General features: G+C 35.3%; 1 protein-coding gene across 7 annotated transcripts in view; it reads left to right on the top strand.

Annotated features, from left to right (window-relative positions):
• ABCB11 (ATP binding cassette subfamily B member 11) overlaps positions 1-18433 on the top strand; it is a 115935-nt gene that overhangs the window by 54950 nt on the left and 42552 nt on the right. For all 7 annotated transcript variants that reach the window (XM_017005165.2, NM_003742.4, XM_011512078.3 and 4 more), the window contains 7 exons: positions 2535-2660; positions 4325-4528; positions 6160-6330; positions 6824-7025; positions 7885-7948; positions 12067-12169; positions 18247-18411. In XM_017005165.2, coding sequence (XP_016860654.1) covers positions 2535-2660; positions 4325-4528; positions 6160-6330; positions 6824-7025; positions 7885-7948; positions 12067-12169; positions 18247-18411 — 1035 coding nt within the window. The remainder of the gene's footprint in view (positions 1-2534; positions 2661-4324; positions 4529-6159; positions 6331-6823; positions 7026-7884; positions 7949-12066; positions 12170-18246; positions 18412-18433) is intronic.

Raw genomic sequence — 18433 nt, 5'->3', positions numbered from 1 at the left:
ATCCCCTGGTTGGGACACAGTCTGGCAGTACATTCAGGCTAAATGAACTGTATGACGCTCTGTTGAAATGAGTGGCAGGTCCTGTCTTTCCATGCAAGTGCTAGATAAATGACAAGGCAATTACAACAATCAGGAAGCACAGGTTCTTCCCAACCTTCGCAGAGACTGCAGAAAGTGGAAGACACTGAGTATAGGGTATGAAGTGGCAAAGGAAAGCTGCCATTATGTAGGTTTTTACTTCCCATCTGTAAATTCACTAGGTCACTGCATCAGCCCTTATAGGAAGGTATCCTTGTGATATTATGCTCACGTGTCTTGTTCAGGGCACATGGTGAAAAAAATTATTTCCTGCCTTTAAATTATCTTTACAGGCAATTTACTCTACAAGAAAATTAGGATCTACTACCCCTGAATAAATTGGCTTTGAAATTAGACTTATTCCTCATTTTCAACAGAGTATCTCTAGCCACTCTCTCTTAATATTTCTGTTATCTGCACAGAACTAAATCCCATTTTGTTAGCCTAACTTAATTCTGACACCACATACCTATCATATATATATGTGATATATATGATATATATGTGATATATATATCATATATCTGTGATATATATATGATATATATATCATTCTCTCTTTGAATATATGAATATATACAGAGAGAAGGTAAACATATATATAAAATGCAGGTAAATATTTATATAATATAATATTTGTAATATATAATACATATATATGTAAATATATATTTATCTATAAATATTTAAATATAAAAATATTTATGTATTTATATATTTATCTATAAATATAAAAATATTTATGTATTTATATATTTATCTATAAATATAAAAATATTTATATATTTATCTATAAATATAAAAATATTTATATATTTATATATTTATCTATAAATATAAAAATATTTATATATTTATATATTTATCTATAAATATAAAAATATTTATATATTTATATATTTATCTATAAATATAAAAATATTTATATATTTATATATTTATCTATAAATATAAAAATATTTATATATTTATATATTTATCTATAAATATTTAAATATAAAAATATTTAAATATTCATATATTTATCTATAAATATTTAAATATAAAAATATTTAAATATTTATATATTTATCTATAAATATTTAAATATAAAAATATTTATTATATATTTATCTATAAATAAATATAAAAATATTTATTATATATTTATCTATAAATATTTAAATATAAAAATATTTGTTTATACATTTATCTATAAATATTTAAATATAAAAATATTTATATATTTATCTATATTTTATATCTATATATACATACCTACATTATCAGTATGTAGGTAAATATATCTATAAATATATATAACAAATGTACAAATATAAGTGTATATCTCTATTTACCTTCATTATATACATAAATATATAAAACATAAGTAAATATATATTCTGATTACATAAAGTATATTTTTATTATCTATTACATATGTACCTAAACATCAAATGTTATAACATATGTAAAGGTGCTTTGTAAGCTATGAATTACAAAGTAATACACACTCAGTAAATATTTTTGAATGGATAGCTAAAACTTATATTACAATGGTGGAGAGTAATTGAGGTTTTTGCCATTACTTTTAATAGTGAAATAAAATCTTCTTACTTAAACCTATATGTATTTATTCATAGTACGAGTATGTTTTTAACCCTCTGTGTGCCACATTGTACTGGTGCTATAATGATAAAAAAGCACATTTGATGCCTGCTTGCTCTGGGAGCTTACAGTCCAATACAGGCCAGTAAGTGAAAATGTATTTGCAAGTTTGACTCCTAGTGTGAAATGAAAGGCGTGAGGTTTTGTGACACAGAGGACCCCAAACCACATTTTCCATAATCAGTACAAAAATCACCTCTTAATTGGTGAAAATATTGACAGATAGTTATGAATTAGCTTCTCATTCTTTCCTCGCAAGACCTACTAGCCAGCATTCAGCCTCTACGTAGCAAACACACCGTGTATATTTATTAAGTAAGTTTATTCAAATGGTATGTTCATACACCATACACATGACGGACGGCTTAAAATCCGCAAATTTCCTTACTGTTAATCCATGATCAGTAAATTAGTACTATATTTCTAACTTAATGGATTTTTTTTCTTTAACTAATTGGCATAGTCTCCTTATCCTAGTATGTCAGGAGTATTTTAAATCAGATTTTGGGACATAATTTTAAAAGTTAACATGTCTTATTTACTTCACCTGTGTTAATGTGCATCATTTTACTTCTTGGTCATGGCTCTCAGTTAAATAATTAAGTAATGTGCTAAATGCCAAAACCTCATCCTTGCCAATGTTTCCTTTTACTGGTTTTTGATGGATTTCAGTGGACGTTGCTTTGGGGGCATACATAAACGCACACACAGACACCGAGTATCAACACAAAGCATCTGCACCTGTAGCCTAATTGTTTGATTTGGTAAACAGTGACAATCTGAACTTTGCTGTTTTCTTTCTTCTCCAGATTCTAAATGACCTCAACATGGTCATTAAACCAGGGGAAATGACAGCTCTGGTAGGACCCAGTGGAGCTGGAAAAAGTACAGCACTGCAACTCATTCAGCGATTCTATGACCCCTGTGAAGGAATGGTGGGTGTCTTCCAGAAACTCCTCAATACATGGGGACAGTAAAGTGCAAATGGCAGTATATTGATCAAACAGAAAGGTGTAGCATACATTGAGACTGTCCTGGCATGCATAGTTAACTTAATGATTTGTTACTGAATTGATGGGACACGCTTCCTACATGGTAACAGTGTTCAGTGAATAACCAGTCAATTCCATTCACTGTATAATGTAACTGAATGTGCAGATACAGTCAGATGTGGCATAGCAACATTTCAGTCAGTGATTGATTTCATATATGATGGTGGTTCCATAAGATTATAATGGAACATGTATAGAAATCTGATATATGTCACTTGATGTTGGCATTGCAGATCAAGTTAAGAGAAATGATTGATATTTAGTAATGGTGCTAGGACATTTGGAAATATATATATACCATCTAAATTTGTGTAACTACACTGTGATGTTTGCCAGTGATGAAACCACCTAAGGACACATTTCTCAGAACGTATCCCCGTCGCTTAGCTATGCATAACTGTACATTTAAAATGCTATTGCTGCCTCTTCAGTGAACTGTCTATTCCACTTTTTTCTTTGTATTATAACGAAAATATTATTGTGTCCTTAAGTTCTCCAGACACTAAATATAGGAATAATAACAGGGCTTGAAATTAAGAGAGAGCAGTCCTAAGAAACTAAGAAAAATGAGTATTAGTAATTGCCATTTATTTATCACATATTATGTGTCAGATACTTTATTAAAATGATTACTTATTGTCACAATGACCCCCAAAGGTACATAGGCCCATTTGACAAACAAGGAAGCAGAGAGTCAGAGAGATGGAAACTTGTCTAGGGTCATTCATCAGGTAAATGACCAAGTCAGGATTGAATCCAGGTGTGTTGGGTTCCAAAGCCCATGCTCTTTTCACTCTGTCTCAAAATTATTCTTGTCAGCATCTCCTTGATGCCTTGAGATGGAATCGTTTAACTATTTAATGGCTTCAACAAAATGAGTTCTCTATCATGCATATAGTATTACACAGGCATGGCAAACATAACAGAGTTTTCCTTTTTCACAGACATCTCATCTCTGATTGGGTATTCTTTACTACCTACCACCATAACTGCACTCTGAATATATAGAAATCATAGTTTCTTGATGTAAGATTTTTACATTTTTACTAATAGTGATTTTTATTTGCTCCCACTGATAGTTTCACTTGCTTTTTAACAGCAAAGTGTTATTTGATGAATCTGGCCAGAAAGTAAGACTTACTATAAATCATATATACAAGATAGGGATCATTGTTTATTTTTATTATATCTTTTGAGTCCATTTTTGTCAAAAGTCAAAAGATATAAAAATATTTAAAACGTAGTGAATAACTGTCTCTACTCTTTACTGGAATCAAAAATTTGTCCATTCCTGGGCCAATGGTGTTAAATTAAGTGAACTTTATTTACATCATTTATGTTTCCACAATGAATTGTTCTGCAGCTATACTTGATTTCAATTACATGTTATCATCCTTATATAAAGAACCACATTTCAAGAGGAATTGTTTCCATTAGAATCTTATTGGCCTCTATTTTTTCTGCCCATTGGTCAAGTATGACATAATATTATGATTCAGAACCCTGAAAGATTCCAAAAGTTGTGATGTTGTGCCCATGCTCTCTAGGTGACCGTGGATGGCCATGACATTCGCTCTCTTAACATTCAGTGGCTTAGAGATCAGATTGGGATAGTGGAGCAAGAGCCAGTTCTGTTCTCTACCACCATTGCAGAAAATATTCGCTATGGCAGAGAAGATGCAACAATGGAAGACATAGTCCAAGCTGCCAAGGAGGCCAATGCCTACAACTTCATCATGGACCTGCCACAGGTACCCCTAGCCATACATTCCTGGGAGAAACTAAGAGGTCATAGAAGGAAAAAAAGTTGCACAATTATACACATTTCTTCTCGTATGATTCCCAAGTCATTAAATTCTTAAGCCATGTTTTAGTTTCATGCCTGAAAAAGTACCATGAGTGTTTCCTTTCATCTGAAAACACATTGTTTATGTGTTCAAATCTATCAAAAAAGGAGGTTTTCTTTTGAAAAGCTCACTTTGTTGGTAATATATTAAACATCTACCAAACTGGGGAACTATCTTTTTTAAAACTCCTTTGACATAGATCCAATGTCCTTATTCCTTTTATTAAGCATTTGTCTAAGCAGATGCTAAATGTCATGTGGCAATAACTTGCACAATAATCTCATGACAGCTACTCATAATTTTCTTGTGCTTAGGCAGCTAATATTGTGTCAAAAACAATTCATTGTATATCTCCATTCTAAGCAACAACAACTACAAAAACCAACTCCTCAGCATTATACTTCAATGGATTTTGCCACCGATGGCCTGCTAAGTCAAAGAAGAGTTATTATAAAGGGTTAACACGTATACGGTTCTTACTACATACCAGGCACTGTTCTAAGCACTTCACACCTATTAACTCATTAAACCCTCACAACAACCCTGTTGAGCAACTAATATTATTAGCTCCATCTAAAGATAGAAAACTGAGGTTCTGAGAGGTCAAATAGCTTGCTCAAGATTATACAACAAGTAAATGGTAAAGACAAGGTTCATACTGAGGTGATCTGCCTTCAGAAGAGTCAGTGATCTTGAACACTTCCCTTTCAGCCTTCTAAATTCTCTTTATGAATAGGATTGCAGCTGTGGCTATGATATAGCCTAGTAGTTAAAGAGTATAAAGCTTTAGAATCAGATTGCCTTGATACAAATCCCAGCTTCTCTATTTACAAGCTTTACAAACTTTCTCAAGTTACTTTGGGCCCAGTGTTTCCTTATTCATCAGTTGCAAATAGCAGCACTTGCCTCATAAGGTATCTATGAGAACTAAAAGAGATGTTATGTGTAAAAAGCTCAGAACCATGCTTTATTCATAGTAGGGGCTCAATTCATGTTGGTTAGTAATAAGCAAGATAAGTGTCTGACCACTAACACCTAATTATTAGATTCCAATGTTGTGCTAGGCCTGTGAGATAATCAGTAACCATCTTTTGTCAATGATAATCCTTATAAAGCTAGTTTGACCTTTTATTCATAATGTAAAAACAGCCTTTGCATTATATTTTGCTGTGTTGTCTAACAGGAGCAAAGAGACACGGATTTGCTCTGTGCTTTAATCCTCTGAGATAGATATTTAGGACCGTGACCAATTTTTATTTTGGTTGAAAAATCTTATTTGAAGTTGAGCTAAAGAGGAATATTTACACAGCCCAGTAAACCCTGGAATAAAAGCATAAATCAATTCCTTTATTTCACACATAAATATTGATTAGACAATAACCCGTCTGGGGAAGGGATATTTCTTTCAGTGGAAGTCGGAGCAGTGAAAATTCGTGCTTGAGAAGAAAACTATGACAGAAAGGACATTATAGTGGATCACTGTCAGAAGCCATCAAATTCTTTTCCCTTCATGACTGGTGTCACCTTCCATCTAGCAATTTGACACCCTTGTTGGAGAAGGAGGAGGCCAGATGAGTGGTGGCCAGAAACAAAGGGTAGCTATCGCCAGAGCCCTCATCCGAAATCCCAAGATTCTGCTTTTGGACATGGCCACCTCAGCTCTGGACAATGAGAGTGAAGCCATGGTGCAAGAAGTGCTGAGTAAGGTTTGTGGAAGTCTTAGTCCATTTTACAGGTCCATGTGGAAATGCTTGTGCTGCTGCAGGAAAGGCAGCTCCTTGTGGGGTGGGAGGGATGGGAGTAGTTGATACTACATGGGTTCATGCATCTAGTCTGATTGTTTAGAAAATATTAGCTGACTACAATCTTCCTCACAGTTGAACAGAAGAAAGTTGTAATTTGTTTCCAAAAGCTACACATGTAAAAGTTTAAATCTTGTTAAGACTAGCTTATGATATTTTTTAAGTTACCTAAAAAATTGTTTTTAGCTGTTGATTAATGGCAGCAACAGGGCCAGTGTGTGTTGGGGTTTATGGCTGCAAGAAAATGTGCTGGCCTTTTCTAATGTCTGCACAGCCTATTTAAGAATATTCCCAGGGACCAAGGATCTAACTTTCCTATGGATTCTGAAATGATGCAAAGGTCAGTGTCAGCTCTGTCTCACAGTTTTGTTTAATGGTGCACTGTACATTCTTACAGATTCAGCATGGGCACACAATCATTTCAGTTGCTCATCGCTTGTCTACGGTCAGAGCTGCAGATACCATCATTGGTTTTGAACATGGCACTGCAGTGGAAAGAGGGACCCATGAAGAATTACTGGAAAGGAAAGGTGTTTACTTCACTCTAGTGACTTTGCAAAGCCAGGGAAATCAAGCTCTTAATGAAGAGGACATAAAGGGCAAGTGCTTTTTCCCTATACTTGTATGTTATATTAAATAGTTAATGTCTATAGTGCTTTACGGTTTTCTATGTATTTCAATACTCACTGTTCTCCCAACAACTCTGGCAGGCGTTATATAGATGGTAAAGGAAACAACTGAAGCTCAGGAAGCTAAGCTATCTGATCAAGTTACAGCACTAAAACCAAGGCTTCTAACTTTCAATTCCATCCCCCCCTTTTTTTTTTTTTTTAACCCTGCGCAAATAGAAGAGGCTTCCTAGAGTGTGTTCCGCACGCAGTAGAAGCTTCATGCTTATTGGCTGAGTGAATTAATCAATGACAAGAAAGTATAATACTTATTTTCAAATGTAGATAGATACTTCAGGTTCTAGTGCACCTTCTTTTTTATCAGTCTGAATTTTCAGACTTGGTGGTTACCTCAATCTAAATTAACCAACCACTCTAAACTTTCTCCACCATTTCACTCCATTAGGTGTAACTACTATATACATTTAACATAGGAGGGTTATTCTGAATAGACTTTTGAAAAGTTTAGTGTTTCTATCATTTTTTTTTTGCTACTTCTGATGGACTTCTCTTAAACTTTTTATGATTTATGCTAAAAAAAAATACCTGTTTCTGTAGAGGTAACAAGCTATTGTATGGTTTAAATGACTCAGTCTTGCTGAGTATTTTGAAATTTTTTATTAGAATCTGCAGGACAAGTCCCGAGTTTTATTTATTGCAATAAAGTTAACAGAATGTTTTGGCATTTGACATAGTAATTATATTCTAAGCAAACATAGTAAAGAATTCTACTTGGATATGGTTCTGTTTATTGTATATACTAAAAAATTGCTCATGCTGTGTTGAGTAGATGCAACTGAAGATGACATGCTTGCGAGGACCTTTAGCAGAGGGAGCTACCAGGATAGTTTAAGGTAAGCTCAAGCCATGGGGCAGATTACAAGCTTTCCAAATATTCTGAGGAGTCCTCTGTAGTCCTAATCCTCAGAGAATATCTCAGGTACAACAAGGAAACTCTGAGTAGACTGCCAGGTCTTGTCAAATATGAACATGCAAGTGATCCTTGGTTGCTATATTGACATTTCTCTCCCCAATTCATGGGTTTTTGGTTAGCTTCTCATCTTCTTGGGGATAAGGGTTACAATGGAGATGCTTTATGGTTAAAATTGTTGTGTATTGAGCTTAGAAAGGGGACTTCTTTTAAAAAAAATCTGTGTTTAGTGTTCCTCTGCTCCAAGCTAACTGTGGTATGAAACACTGTCTTACGTGAAGGTCAAATTCATGCCTTTAGCTCCACTCTTTAATCTACTGAGCTGCAACTGAATTACAAACACTTCTGCTCCCAGAGTAACCCATCTGAAGTCAAATCATTCCATAACTAGATGAAGTAAGAAATGTAATTTTTTAGCACTTAAAAATAATTTTCCTAAATAAGAGCTATTTATTTTTCCCTGGATCAATATAAAGCTGTTTACTTTCAAAATATATTTTTGGAGTATGCTATTAGTGAGACTACACACTTTAGTCTTTCATCCTGGTTTAAGAGTTTCAATAAAACTGCTCCTCTGATGTTACAAGTCTGTATTAAGAAGAATTCTGCCCAGGAGTGTTTGTCTATATTTATAACTGTTATTCAAGATTTTTTTTTCTTAAGTCAGAAGATTTTTAAAAGGCAATGAGATGGTAGCAATATCTCTATGATTGCCATTTCCATTTCTAGGACATTTAATGCAAGGCTGTGCAAAGTCGCAGAGATAAGACTTGCTCATTCAAGATGGATAATTATTTATTGAAAAGTTGTTAAAGAGCCTTAAAACATTCAGCTAACAATTCCAAGTAGTTCAAACGCAGATTTATTCATTTAAATATTCAAAGAATAGCTCACAAAAAGTAGTGTATTTATTTTCAGATGTAGATAAATACTTCAGGCCCTAGTATATCTTTTCCTTATCAGTTTGAATTTTCAGACTTGGGTTTTCCTATCTTTCTTCTTGAGAACAAGTTTATTCAAACAAATTTTAAGAAATGCTAGTTTGACTGAATTTACTGAATTTGGCAAATAACAAAGCAATAGCTTCACATTACTCTGTCATGTAAAAGGTATAAAACAATGTTATAGGCACCTGGTAGTAAGTTTAGTCATGCTTTTCTGATTCGATACTAAATTTAAATCATTCAAGTCATTAGAATCACAACCTGAAAATATCAACTAACTTCTTAAACCCAGAGAATGACTAGGCATCTCTTTTGGTCACTAGGTTAAAGGTTGCAAAGTGGACATGTTTCTTATGATCAGGCCAACAAGAAAATAAATATTTTCTTAACTCTTCAGACAAACAAAATTCTACTCATGTTAAGTAGTTTATTTGCAGTTTATTATTAGAACTAGTTAACCATTTTAATGTGAACATTAATTTGGCTATAATTTCTCACAAATGTTACATTTTGGTGATTAGGATGAGAAATCCAGAAATACGATCTACACACAGAAAGTAGCTATTAACCTCCTGCAGAGAAAGATTTGTACATTTGAGTATGAAAGTCTGTTAAAATATCTCATTGTACATGCTGACGGATTTTTCTTGTTGTCGTTAAAAGATGACTAAATGAAGTGTTAATATGTATCTTGTTTCTTTGGTTTCAGTTTTTCTGATGGCTAAGTTCCTTTTCAGCAATATATTTTAAATTCAAGAACAATTTAATACATAACAGCCACAAATTTCCTAAATAATAATGTTGAGAAAGATAGTATTTAGTCCCCCAAGTTAGTTGTTTTTATTTGCAGTGAGAAGTGGTACACAGCTTCAGAGAAGGGGAGAGACAGATGTTGTCAGTTTCTGAAAAGGGATGGTGTTTCTAGTGGATGAGAGAGGTAAACCTGCCTAGCACATGCACTGCCCATGGCCTCATGACAGCCTAGGCTAGACAGCTCGAATGATCTGGAGAATGGTGAAAGAGAGAGACTTAAAAAATATAAAGTAGATATCCAAGGGGCCAAGGACATAGGTCTTCCCATACTCAGAACTGGAAGGTAGTCAGTCATATGTTGATGGCCTCTCCTGCTCCACAAACTCCTACCTTGGCATCCATTGCTCTGCATTTGCTTTTTAGGTCCTTGACCTTAAGTCTCCTCCTATCAAGCACCTTGTTCTCACCAGCTGACACAAGCCTATTCTGCACACCTTCTGGAGAAGACATCCTGACCTCTGTTACCTAACTGGGAGAAATGACTTCATTGCTGTGTAGTTTCAGGCTAGGTGGGAGGGAGTCTCTGGAGGTGTCCCAGAAGTTTGGTGGCAGGGAGTAGCGTTGAGGAGTGGTTTAATGCCTGGTCATAATGAGTCTTGGCAAGAGTCTGAATGTGCAAGAGCAAGGAAGAGGGAGGGCTTGAGGAAACTGCATGGTGTTGAACCTGGGTGACTAAGAGGATGGAAGTGCCATTAACAGAAAATGGGAACAAATTGGAGCAACTCAGTTGATACATTACTGCCTTCTCTGGAAGGCTAGATGAGCATATAGTAGGCAGGCACCACCTTGATATTTGTTTTGGTGAAATTTCACTTGGATGCAAAATGGTAGAGAAAGATATGTGAATGGATTCATCTAGATGGCACTAAAACAGTTGATGCAGGTCTCCTCATCACTCACATCTCTCTCTTTACACCATTTACTTCAGGTGATTCTTTCTAAAACACAGTCTTCAGCATTGCCTCTTAACCATTAAGACTGTTTACAAATGACTGAAAACCTAACCCAACTTGGATTTACCTTTAGAGAGACAGAATCAGCTCATATAACTAAATATTCCAAAGATGCTTTGGCTTCAGGCAAGGCTAGAGCTTCAGTGATATGTCCAAGCTAGAAAATAGTTTCTCTCTCTTCCTTTCTCAGCTCTACTATTTCACTGTTGGCTTCATTTTTCAGAAAGCTTCTTTTTTTGAAGGTCTCAACATAATTGTCAACAGCTCCCAGCACTAAATACTTTAAGATTAACCTAGAGGAGAATGGGGGCCTCCTTCCCAGGAGTCTGGGGGAGGGAAGAGGAGGGTGGAGTCTGAACCAATCACTTCCCATGCTTGTCATGTACTCAGTATATTCAGCAAGCAACCCTGTCCTCCCCTGTCTCCATGCTTATGTTTATACATTCTCTCAGTCAGAAATGCTCTTTTCTATAGTCTACAAATCCCCATATCCTACCTTAGCCATCTCATCCATGAATCTTGCCTTGGTAACACCTGCCATACATTTCTTTTTCCTTTGACTTTCCATACTCTTTATTCAAACCTGCCTAATAGCACTTACCACATTCTTCTTTACCTTAGGGTGTGGTACAGGCCTCTTCTATAAGGTTTAAATTTTTTGAAGGAGAAATCTGTTATTGGCTAGTCTTTGTGTCCCCAACATCACCTGGCATTGGTTTGTAAGTTGTAGATGCCCAATAAGCTTCTGTTGAATTAATGAATAAATGAATGAACACATTGAGCTAAATTATATTTCAACAAGATACTCATTCATGCATGTCTGAATGCAGGGTAGTATATAGCCTGGAGAAAATCTCATCAGAGGCCCTATTTCCTCATATCATTTGTAACCATGCTAAAGTGAACACATCAGGTATGAGAGAAAGATATCAAGACCACAATCTAAGCCAGAAGGAAAGTAAAGGAAATAGACTGTTGCCAAGGCAGCAATTAGCAGAACCATGTGGGTTTGGAAAGTATTTGAGCCTTAGGTGGTTTTTTGATGAACTGGTAGGACAGCTTTGCTCCCTTTCTCTTTCTCCCTCCCTGACTACACTCTGAATCTGGGTCCAACACTTGCAAGAGTTTAGGGCCCAGAGCAATCAACCTGATTAGCTCTGCCCTAAGATTAGCTCTGTCAAACCTAACCTGCAAGCTCCCTTTCCTGGTTACCATGTGACCTACCAAACATTTCTATTTATTTGACATATGAAATGTAAACTTGGACACCAGTTGATCCTGCTCCAATCTGGCCACAGTCTACACTGTTTCATCTTTCTGTTTATTTACAGGGCTTCCATCCGGCAACGCTCCAAGTCTCAGCTTTCTTACCTGGTGCACGAACCTCCATTAGCTGTTGTAGATCATAAGTCTACCTATGAAGAAGATAGAAAGGTCAGGCACCAACTGCTTATGGGGGGGAATGGAAGAAGTCTCTCCTGGGGACTGTTGGGTACCCTTTAAGCCTGAGAATATGAGTTTTCTAGGTATATATCTAGCAGTGTTTCAAGTCAGACTAAAAGACAGAGCATTAAGACCTAATGAAAACTCTAAGTTTTACACAATATTTTTAATGCAGATTAGTTAATTGATTATTTTTAAGAATACAAGGTAATGAAAACTGGACTTCGGAGGGTTAATTGTCTTAGACAAACTATTCTAACAAACACAGAATGTGTGAATTCTAGATATTTAGCAGATTATTTGCTCATATGTAGAAATCCTTTTATAAAAGTTGTTAAGAATACCTGAAAGCTTTTTTCTCAAATTTTAAAATTTCTTTCTTAAATTACAATAATTTTGGCAAAAATACCTTGATCAACAAAAGTGTTTGAATAGGCTAGCCCTTATTACAAGTTATCAAAATATTTGAATTAATGGAGGCCAATTAGGTTTCACAGACATTTGTTGATTTCATACAATTTTTATAATGGTTTTAAGATACATTTAAAATAATACTATCAATTTTAACATAATTCAAGGTAGCATAAAATTAAAGAGCTAGGAAAGCAAACAACATGTATAGCAATACACAATTTCTTCCTAAGGATGCAGGTGTCCTGCTGTTGTAGACATTGTCTAATTTTCACATAAACAGACCACCCATTCTCCTCCAAGCCTTTCCTCATTACTGCACGTTACATGTCAGCCCTGATACTTTTACGTTCATTCCCCTACCACCCTTCGTTAGAAAATTTTCATGGCAATTTTCTTATTGAGCCTTAATCAAAGTCATGTTGACTTATCCCCTTTCTAAATTATAAGCCTCTGAAAGTTAGTGATACACCTTATTTGTGTTTGAATCAACTTGGTTACCTAACCCAGTGCCTTGCACTTAGTAAGGCATCAGGAGATTTTAAAAATTAGAATGAAAACATGAATTTCTACAATAAAATAAAACCCCAACTGCAAGATTTATCAAAGCAAATAAGTCAGAGAATTTTTAAATTACAAGCACATCCATTATGCATGATATAATTTCAAATTGTCTTAAATAAAATTCCAACACGTGAATCCACTAGGCAGTAATTACAAACATTGATTCATAATGGACAAATTTGGAATAAAGTAGAGTACTCTTTATGACCGTATGAAAATGACAAGGGAGTGATTGGGTTCTCTTTTGTTTTTAATGTATTAATACTGAATAAACAGAGGTCTCAATTTCTAACACAGGCTTTAAATAAATTCCATGGAAGACTTTTTCTCAGGAGCAGCAGGATGAATCACAGTGAGAGAAAACACATTTAGCAAGCATAGTTTCTTACTGCATCCTGCCACTAAAGACTCAACCTCTCTTCTAGTTCTAGAAATAGCTATTTCATTGAGTCCATGGTGCTGTCCCAGATAACTATAAGATGTATTATATAAGAGCAGGAGTTTAATAGAGCTTCAGGGGAGAAAGAACCAAACACTACATTGACATTTCTATTGAACCATAACAATACCAATCATATTTAATTTTTGCATTTTAATTTTTTCTAGTTTCTGGGTAGATATTTGACAATAAAAGTAAAAGTAAGAAAGGATGGAAAGAAGGGAGGGAGGGAAGGAAAATCTGACTTTTTCATTGTTGTTGTTCAAGCTGGTAGAGGACCTAGCGTAGGTGTAGGGGACCATCAGATTCCCTGGACATCTGGAGATCAGATTCCCATAGAGTTCTCTTGATGCAGGAACAATTCAGGAGGGAACCATTTAACTAAAAGGAAATCTAAATCTAATATACGGTCTAGTTTTACAGAGATTAAAATGTTTCATATTATGTTCTACTAGTCAGCATTATACATTTAGAATAGAACAATTAAACTCAGTTATATGTAGGCCAGCATACGTTTTAAAAGATGTGACTTTACGTTCTCTCTAGTTAAGGGAGATAGAAAGGAAGAAGAGAGAAAAAATGATAGGAGAGCCAATGTGATTATACTAAAGCTCCAAGGGGAAAAGGTCTCATAATAATACCACTGGTTTGTACGATAATTTTGTTAGTCCTTTAGGTTTAAAAAATTAATGATTTTTGAAAAGAAAATAATGGAAAAGGGTTAATAAAATTTGACTTATGAAATTTCTAATCTCAAGTAACATTATATGGTAAAATGTTGCTCTGTTTTGGTATTTTAAAGTATTTTAATACTTAACTAAATTCCACAAGCCCAAGCATTGGTGAAATCCTTTCTTTTTCTCATGTTGATGGAAAAGGCCTAACCTTACTTTCTGTAGATTGGGAAATACTCTCTTACGGTGCTAAAGGTCGATTCACACAAAGGAGTTATCGCCACCTTGTGGTCTTGTGGAGTATTGACTCTAAAACTTAGAACCATTTCCTGAGAAGTCTGTGCTTTCACCCAAGGTCTCATGGTTAGTTGGTGACAGAGATGAGACTATACCCATTTATCCTTGCTCTCCAAGCAGTACTCTTAGCTCCTGTAAACGGGGTCAGATGTTAGTTACAATGTTGACAACATTAAGTTTAGGATTAGGGAAACCCACAGGCTAAAGGTTTTAGTCTCTAATATTTAGGCAATCTCTTTTGGTGAAACTAAAACACAAGGCAGAACATGTATGAGATCAAGTCAGGATCAAATATTAGACACCCATAACTGCATCACAGATAACTTATGTGATAGGATTTAGGCATTGGTTAAGATAAGACAGAGATGGGACCCATAAAAATGGCTATCAGTATTAGTTCATTTGAAAAATCTCTGCTCCTTTGTCATAGTTACCACTTTTTATCATCAAATCTTAAAGTTATTATTAGGGCAGGGAACCTCTACTGAATGGAAGGCAGAAATTAGTGTAACAAAGTATAGAAAGCAAGACCTAAGATTTAAGTCGGAGGTTATTTTTCCTCTGGCCTACACAGAAGATGTAAGAAAGGAAACAGAAAAGCCCAGTGTCTAGCATTGAACTATGAATGCATCATAGTAGATGAGCAATTTTAAATAAATCTCTTGTTGCATGTATGCAGCATGGACATAAAAGTTTCATTCATTCTTTTATCCCATAAACATCGATTGTACACTGTGAAGTGCCAGGTATCACACTGGGGATGCAAAAATGAACAAGAGCTATTGTTACTCTCCCTACTATGGAGCTGCTGACAGGCATTTCTTTACATATGATTTTTTTTAAAAGTGCTGTGCAACCTGCCAGTGCTACAATAGAAGTACAAGGAAACACATATAAATTTTATAATTTTACCTGTCTGTGAGATTTGTTGTTAATTTATAATCTTCTCTTTATGTTTAATTTTGCAAAATCAGAGAGAAAAATATTTCTTTACAGAATGACTTTAATTATTTTTTGTATTGTTTTCTTTTATTCCTCTCCTGTTCTTTTAGTGGAGATATCAAATAAAATGCAATAAAAAGTCCAATATTTAGGGACAGATTTTCTAGTTTTTGCATCATTCAAGCTGGACAGTTGCATTTTTTCGGGGGGGTCAAACTTTAAAGTCAAACTTTTAGTATAGAGGAACCAAAGAAAATTATTTTAATTAATTCGTATTTCTTGTTAGTGTCTCTTGGAATGAAAACCACTAGACAAGAATTACTTTGTATCGCTTTGAAATGTCCTAAGTGTTGTTGTTTAGAGTTAAGGATAACTTCAGGTATCAGAAGGTTGGGAAAATTTCTATCATGTCAGGCTGTGGGTGGACCATCCTGTGGGGCAATCGTTCCAGAAAATGCTGGTATTTAATGTCACAAGGAAGCTGGCAGAATTTAGTGAGTGCTAATAGTCTTCACAAGTTCCAAAGCCTACCCTTTGATGGTACGTACAGCACAGCTGACACATCTAAAACATACATTATAGAATCCTAGCCATTTAGTGGTGAGAGGAGCCTTGGAGTTCTCACATACTGAACTTTGGTTACCAGAATTACCTGATGAGTATTTTTTAAGACAGAGATTCACAGTTAGGCCTACTAAATTGGAATTCTCGTGACAGGATACAGGAATCTGGTTTTTTAATCATCAACCCACATGAATCTGAGAGCATCCAGATCTGGATACCAACCACTCTCTAGAACAGAGAAGGGGTGAAATATTTTGCTCTATTGCAAGCATTCAGTTAGTCTCACACAATTTCATGATGCTGGCAGAATACATGAGCATCCTGAATCACAGTGTTCATATTCGGGTTTTTTTTTTTTTTTTTTTTTTTTTGGAGATGCAGTCTTGCTCTGTCACACGAGTACCCTGAACCAGAGACAAAGGACTTTATTATTCATAGCAATAGCAGTAGCCAGTGTTCAGCATTTGCACTGGCTCCCCAACCCAACCCCCAGTTCCCACAAGGCAATGCAAAGAGGGCCAGATGATACCAACAAATGAAGTGGGTGTTTTAAACGAGAGGAAACCTGGGCTTGAGGAGCCTGACTCTTTCATAATGGGCAGATGGGGGCAGTAAGGTTTGCACTTCACTTGGGATGAAGACATCTTCTTTGTCCTCCAAAACTGTTTGCTATACAAATACCCTTGAAAAAATAACCCGAATGAAGGTAATCAATGCCTCTGTTCACAAGATGTGCATAAACATGGGAGACTCAGAGAGATTGTTTCCCCAGAATTACTTAGTCCAAGTCTCTCGTTTTAAGGATGAAATAACTGAGGTCCAGAGAGCTAGAGCACTTAGTAATACACTTTACGGGTGGCCACGTTGGGCTTTTCCAAGAGCTCCATTTTTTCTATGCCTATTACACTCATGCTTTCCCAGGTACCCTTATTCCTTTCTGGCATAGGTTGCCTAGAGCTAGTAAGCTGTCACAGGTGAAATAATTGAACAGAAGGACCTGCTGCATGAGTGAGCAGTAATGACAAAGTACAAATGGTGAGAGCAGGCCAAGAGAGAACTTGAAGTGGAGGTAGTACCAAATTCATCACCAGTCCAAGTTGCCTTCCCTCATTTTATTTGACTTGCAACTGTAATGAAATGGACATGACACAGACTTTCATTTAAAATGAATGTGGTCTTTGACTTTGTAAGCAAAGGGAAAATTTTTGAAGATCCTTGCTGTTGTCTATCCCTGCCATCCTGCTCCCTAAAAGATAAATTACTGTGTTAATGAAAGAGAGCACTAATTAAGCTTTATAGTCGATTTGCTGTATATATTTTTGGTAAATGTCAATAGAAAAGCTTTTAAAAATCAATACAAATCTATATAAGCTACCTAAAATCCTTTCTCAAAGTGGGTAATAAATTTAACAAATTAATGAATTAATTACGCTTAAGACCAAACTTGAGTAGTATCCATAGCAAGGAAAAACGATGGCCAAAAAAGACAACGGAGGTCCATGTATAATATTTGCCTTTGAGAAGATAAAAAACTGCTAGCTCTGACTTAATGGCAACTAAAGAGAAATGCTGATTAATGTCCACTCTGTGTGATGAAAATGTGCAATTTAGAAATCCAAATGCAGTACTACTTACCTCTGGGTACTGATTAAGGAAAACCTTACTGAAAACATCTCAATGATAACTGTTGACACCACTTAATGTATTTTAAAAATTATTTTGTCTTATTTCATATATACTGGCCTACCTTACAGCTTTAGCCAGTTACTATATTATAGAACCTTGACATTTATTTTAAAAAATTGAAAATTTCACCAGTCCTCACCGGTATAAATACAACCGTAGCAAAGGTTTTCTTTTTTTAATGGGAGTTATTTTTCTCCAAGATCCAACATATTTATTACTCTCTGAGAGTTAATACACATGTAATCATGAAATAAGAACTATAAGCTCACCTTCAAATGCGTATTCCCTCAGTTCAGTTTTTATTCAAGCCACAGCAATAGTTTTGTTCAAAACGATTCCTCAAAAAATAACAAACAACCATATCCCATAGACATTTGAGGTCACTCATAACTAATCAAACTATGACTCTTAAATCTGTGAATGCCAAAGGATCTGCTGCAAAATGTCTTGAGTACATTTAGATGATTAATATAACCCTCTCTCTGCTCAAGGACAAGGACATTCCTGTGCAGGAAGAAGTTGAACCTGCCCCAGTTAGGAGGATTCTGAAATTCAGTGCTCCAGAATGGCCCTACATGCTGGTAGGGTCTGTGGGTGCAGCTGTGAACGGGACAGTCACACCCTTGTATGCCTTTTTATTCAGCCAGATTCTTGGGGTAAGTACACAGCTGGACTAGC

Source organism: Homo sapiens, chromosome 2 (genome assembly GCF_000001405.40).
Source record: "Homo sapiens chromosome 2, GRCh38.p14 Primary Assembly".
NCBI classification, from domain to species: domain Eukaryota; kingdom Metazoa; phylum Chordata; class Mammalia; order Primates; family Hominidae; genus Homo; species Homo sapiens.
This window is presented reverse-complemented; position numbering and strand designations above follow the sequence as displayed.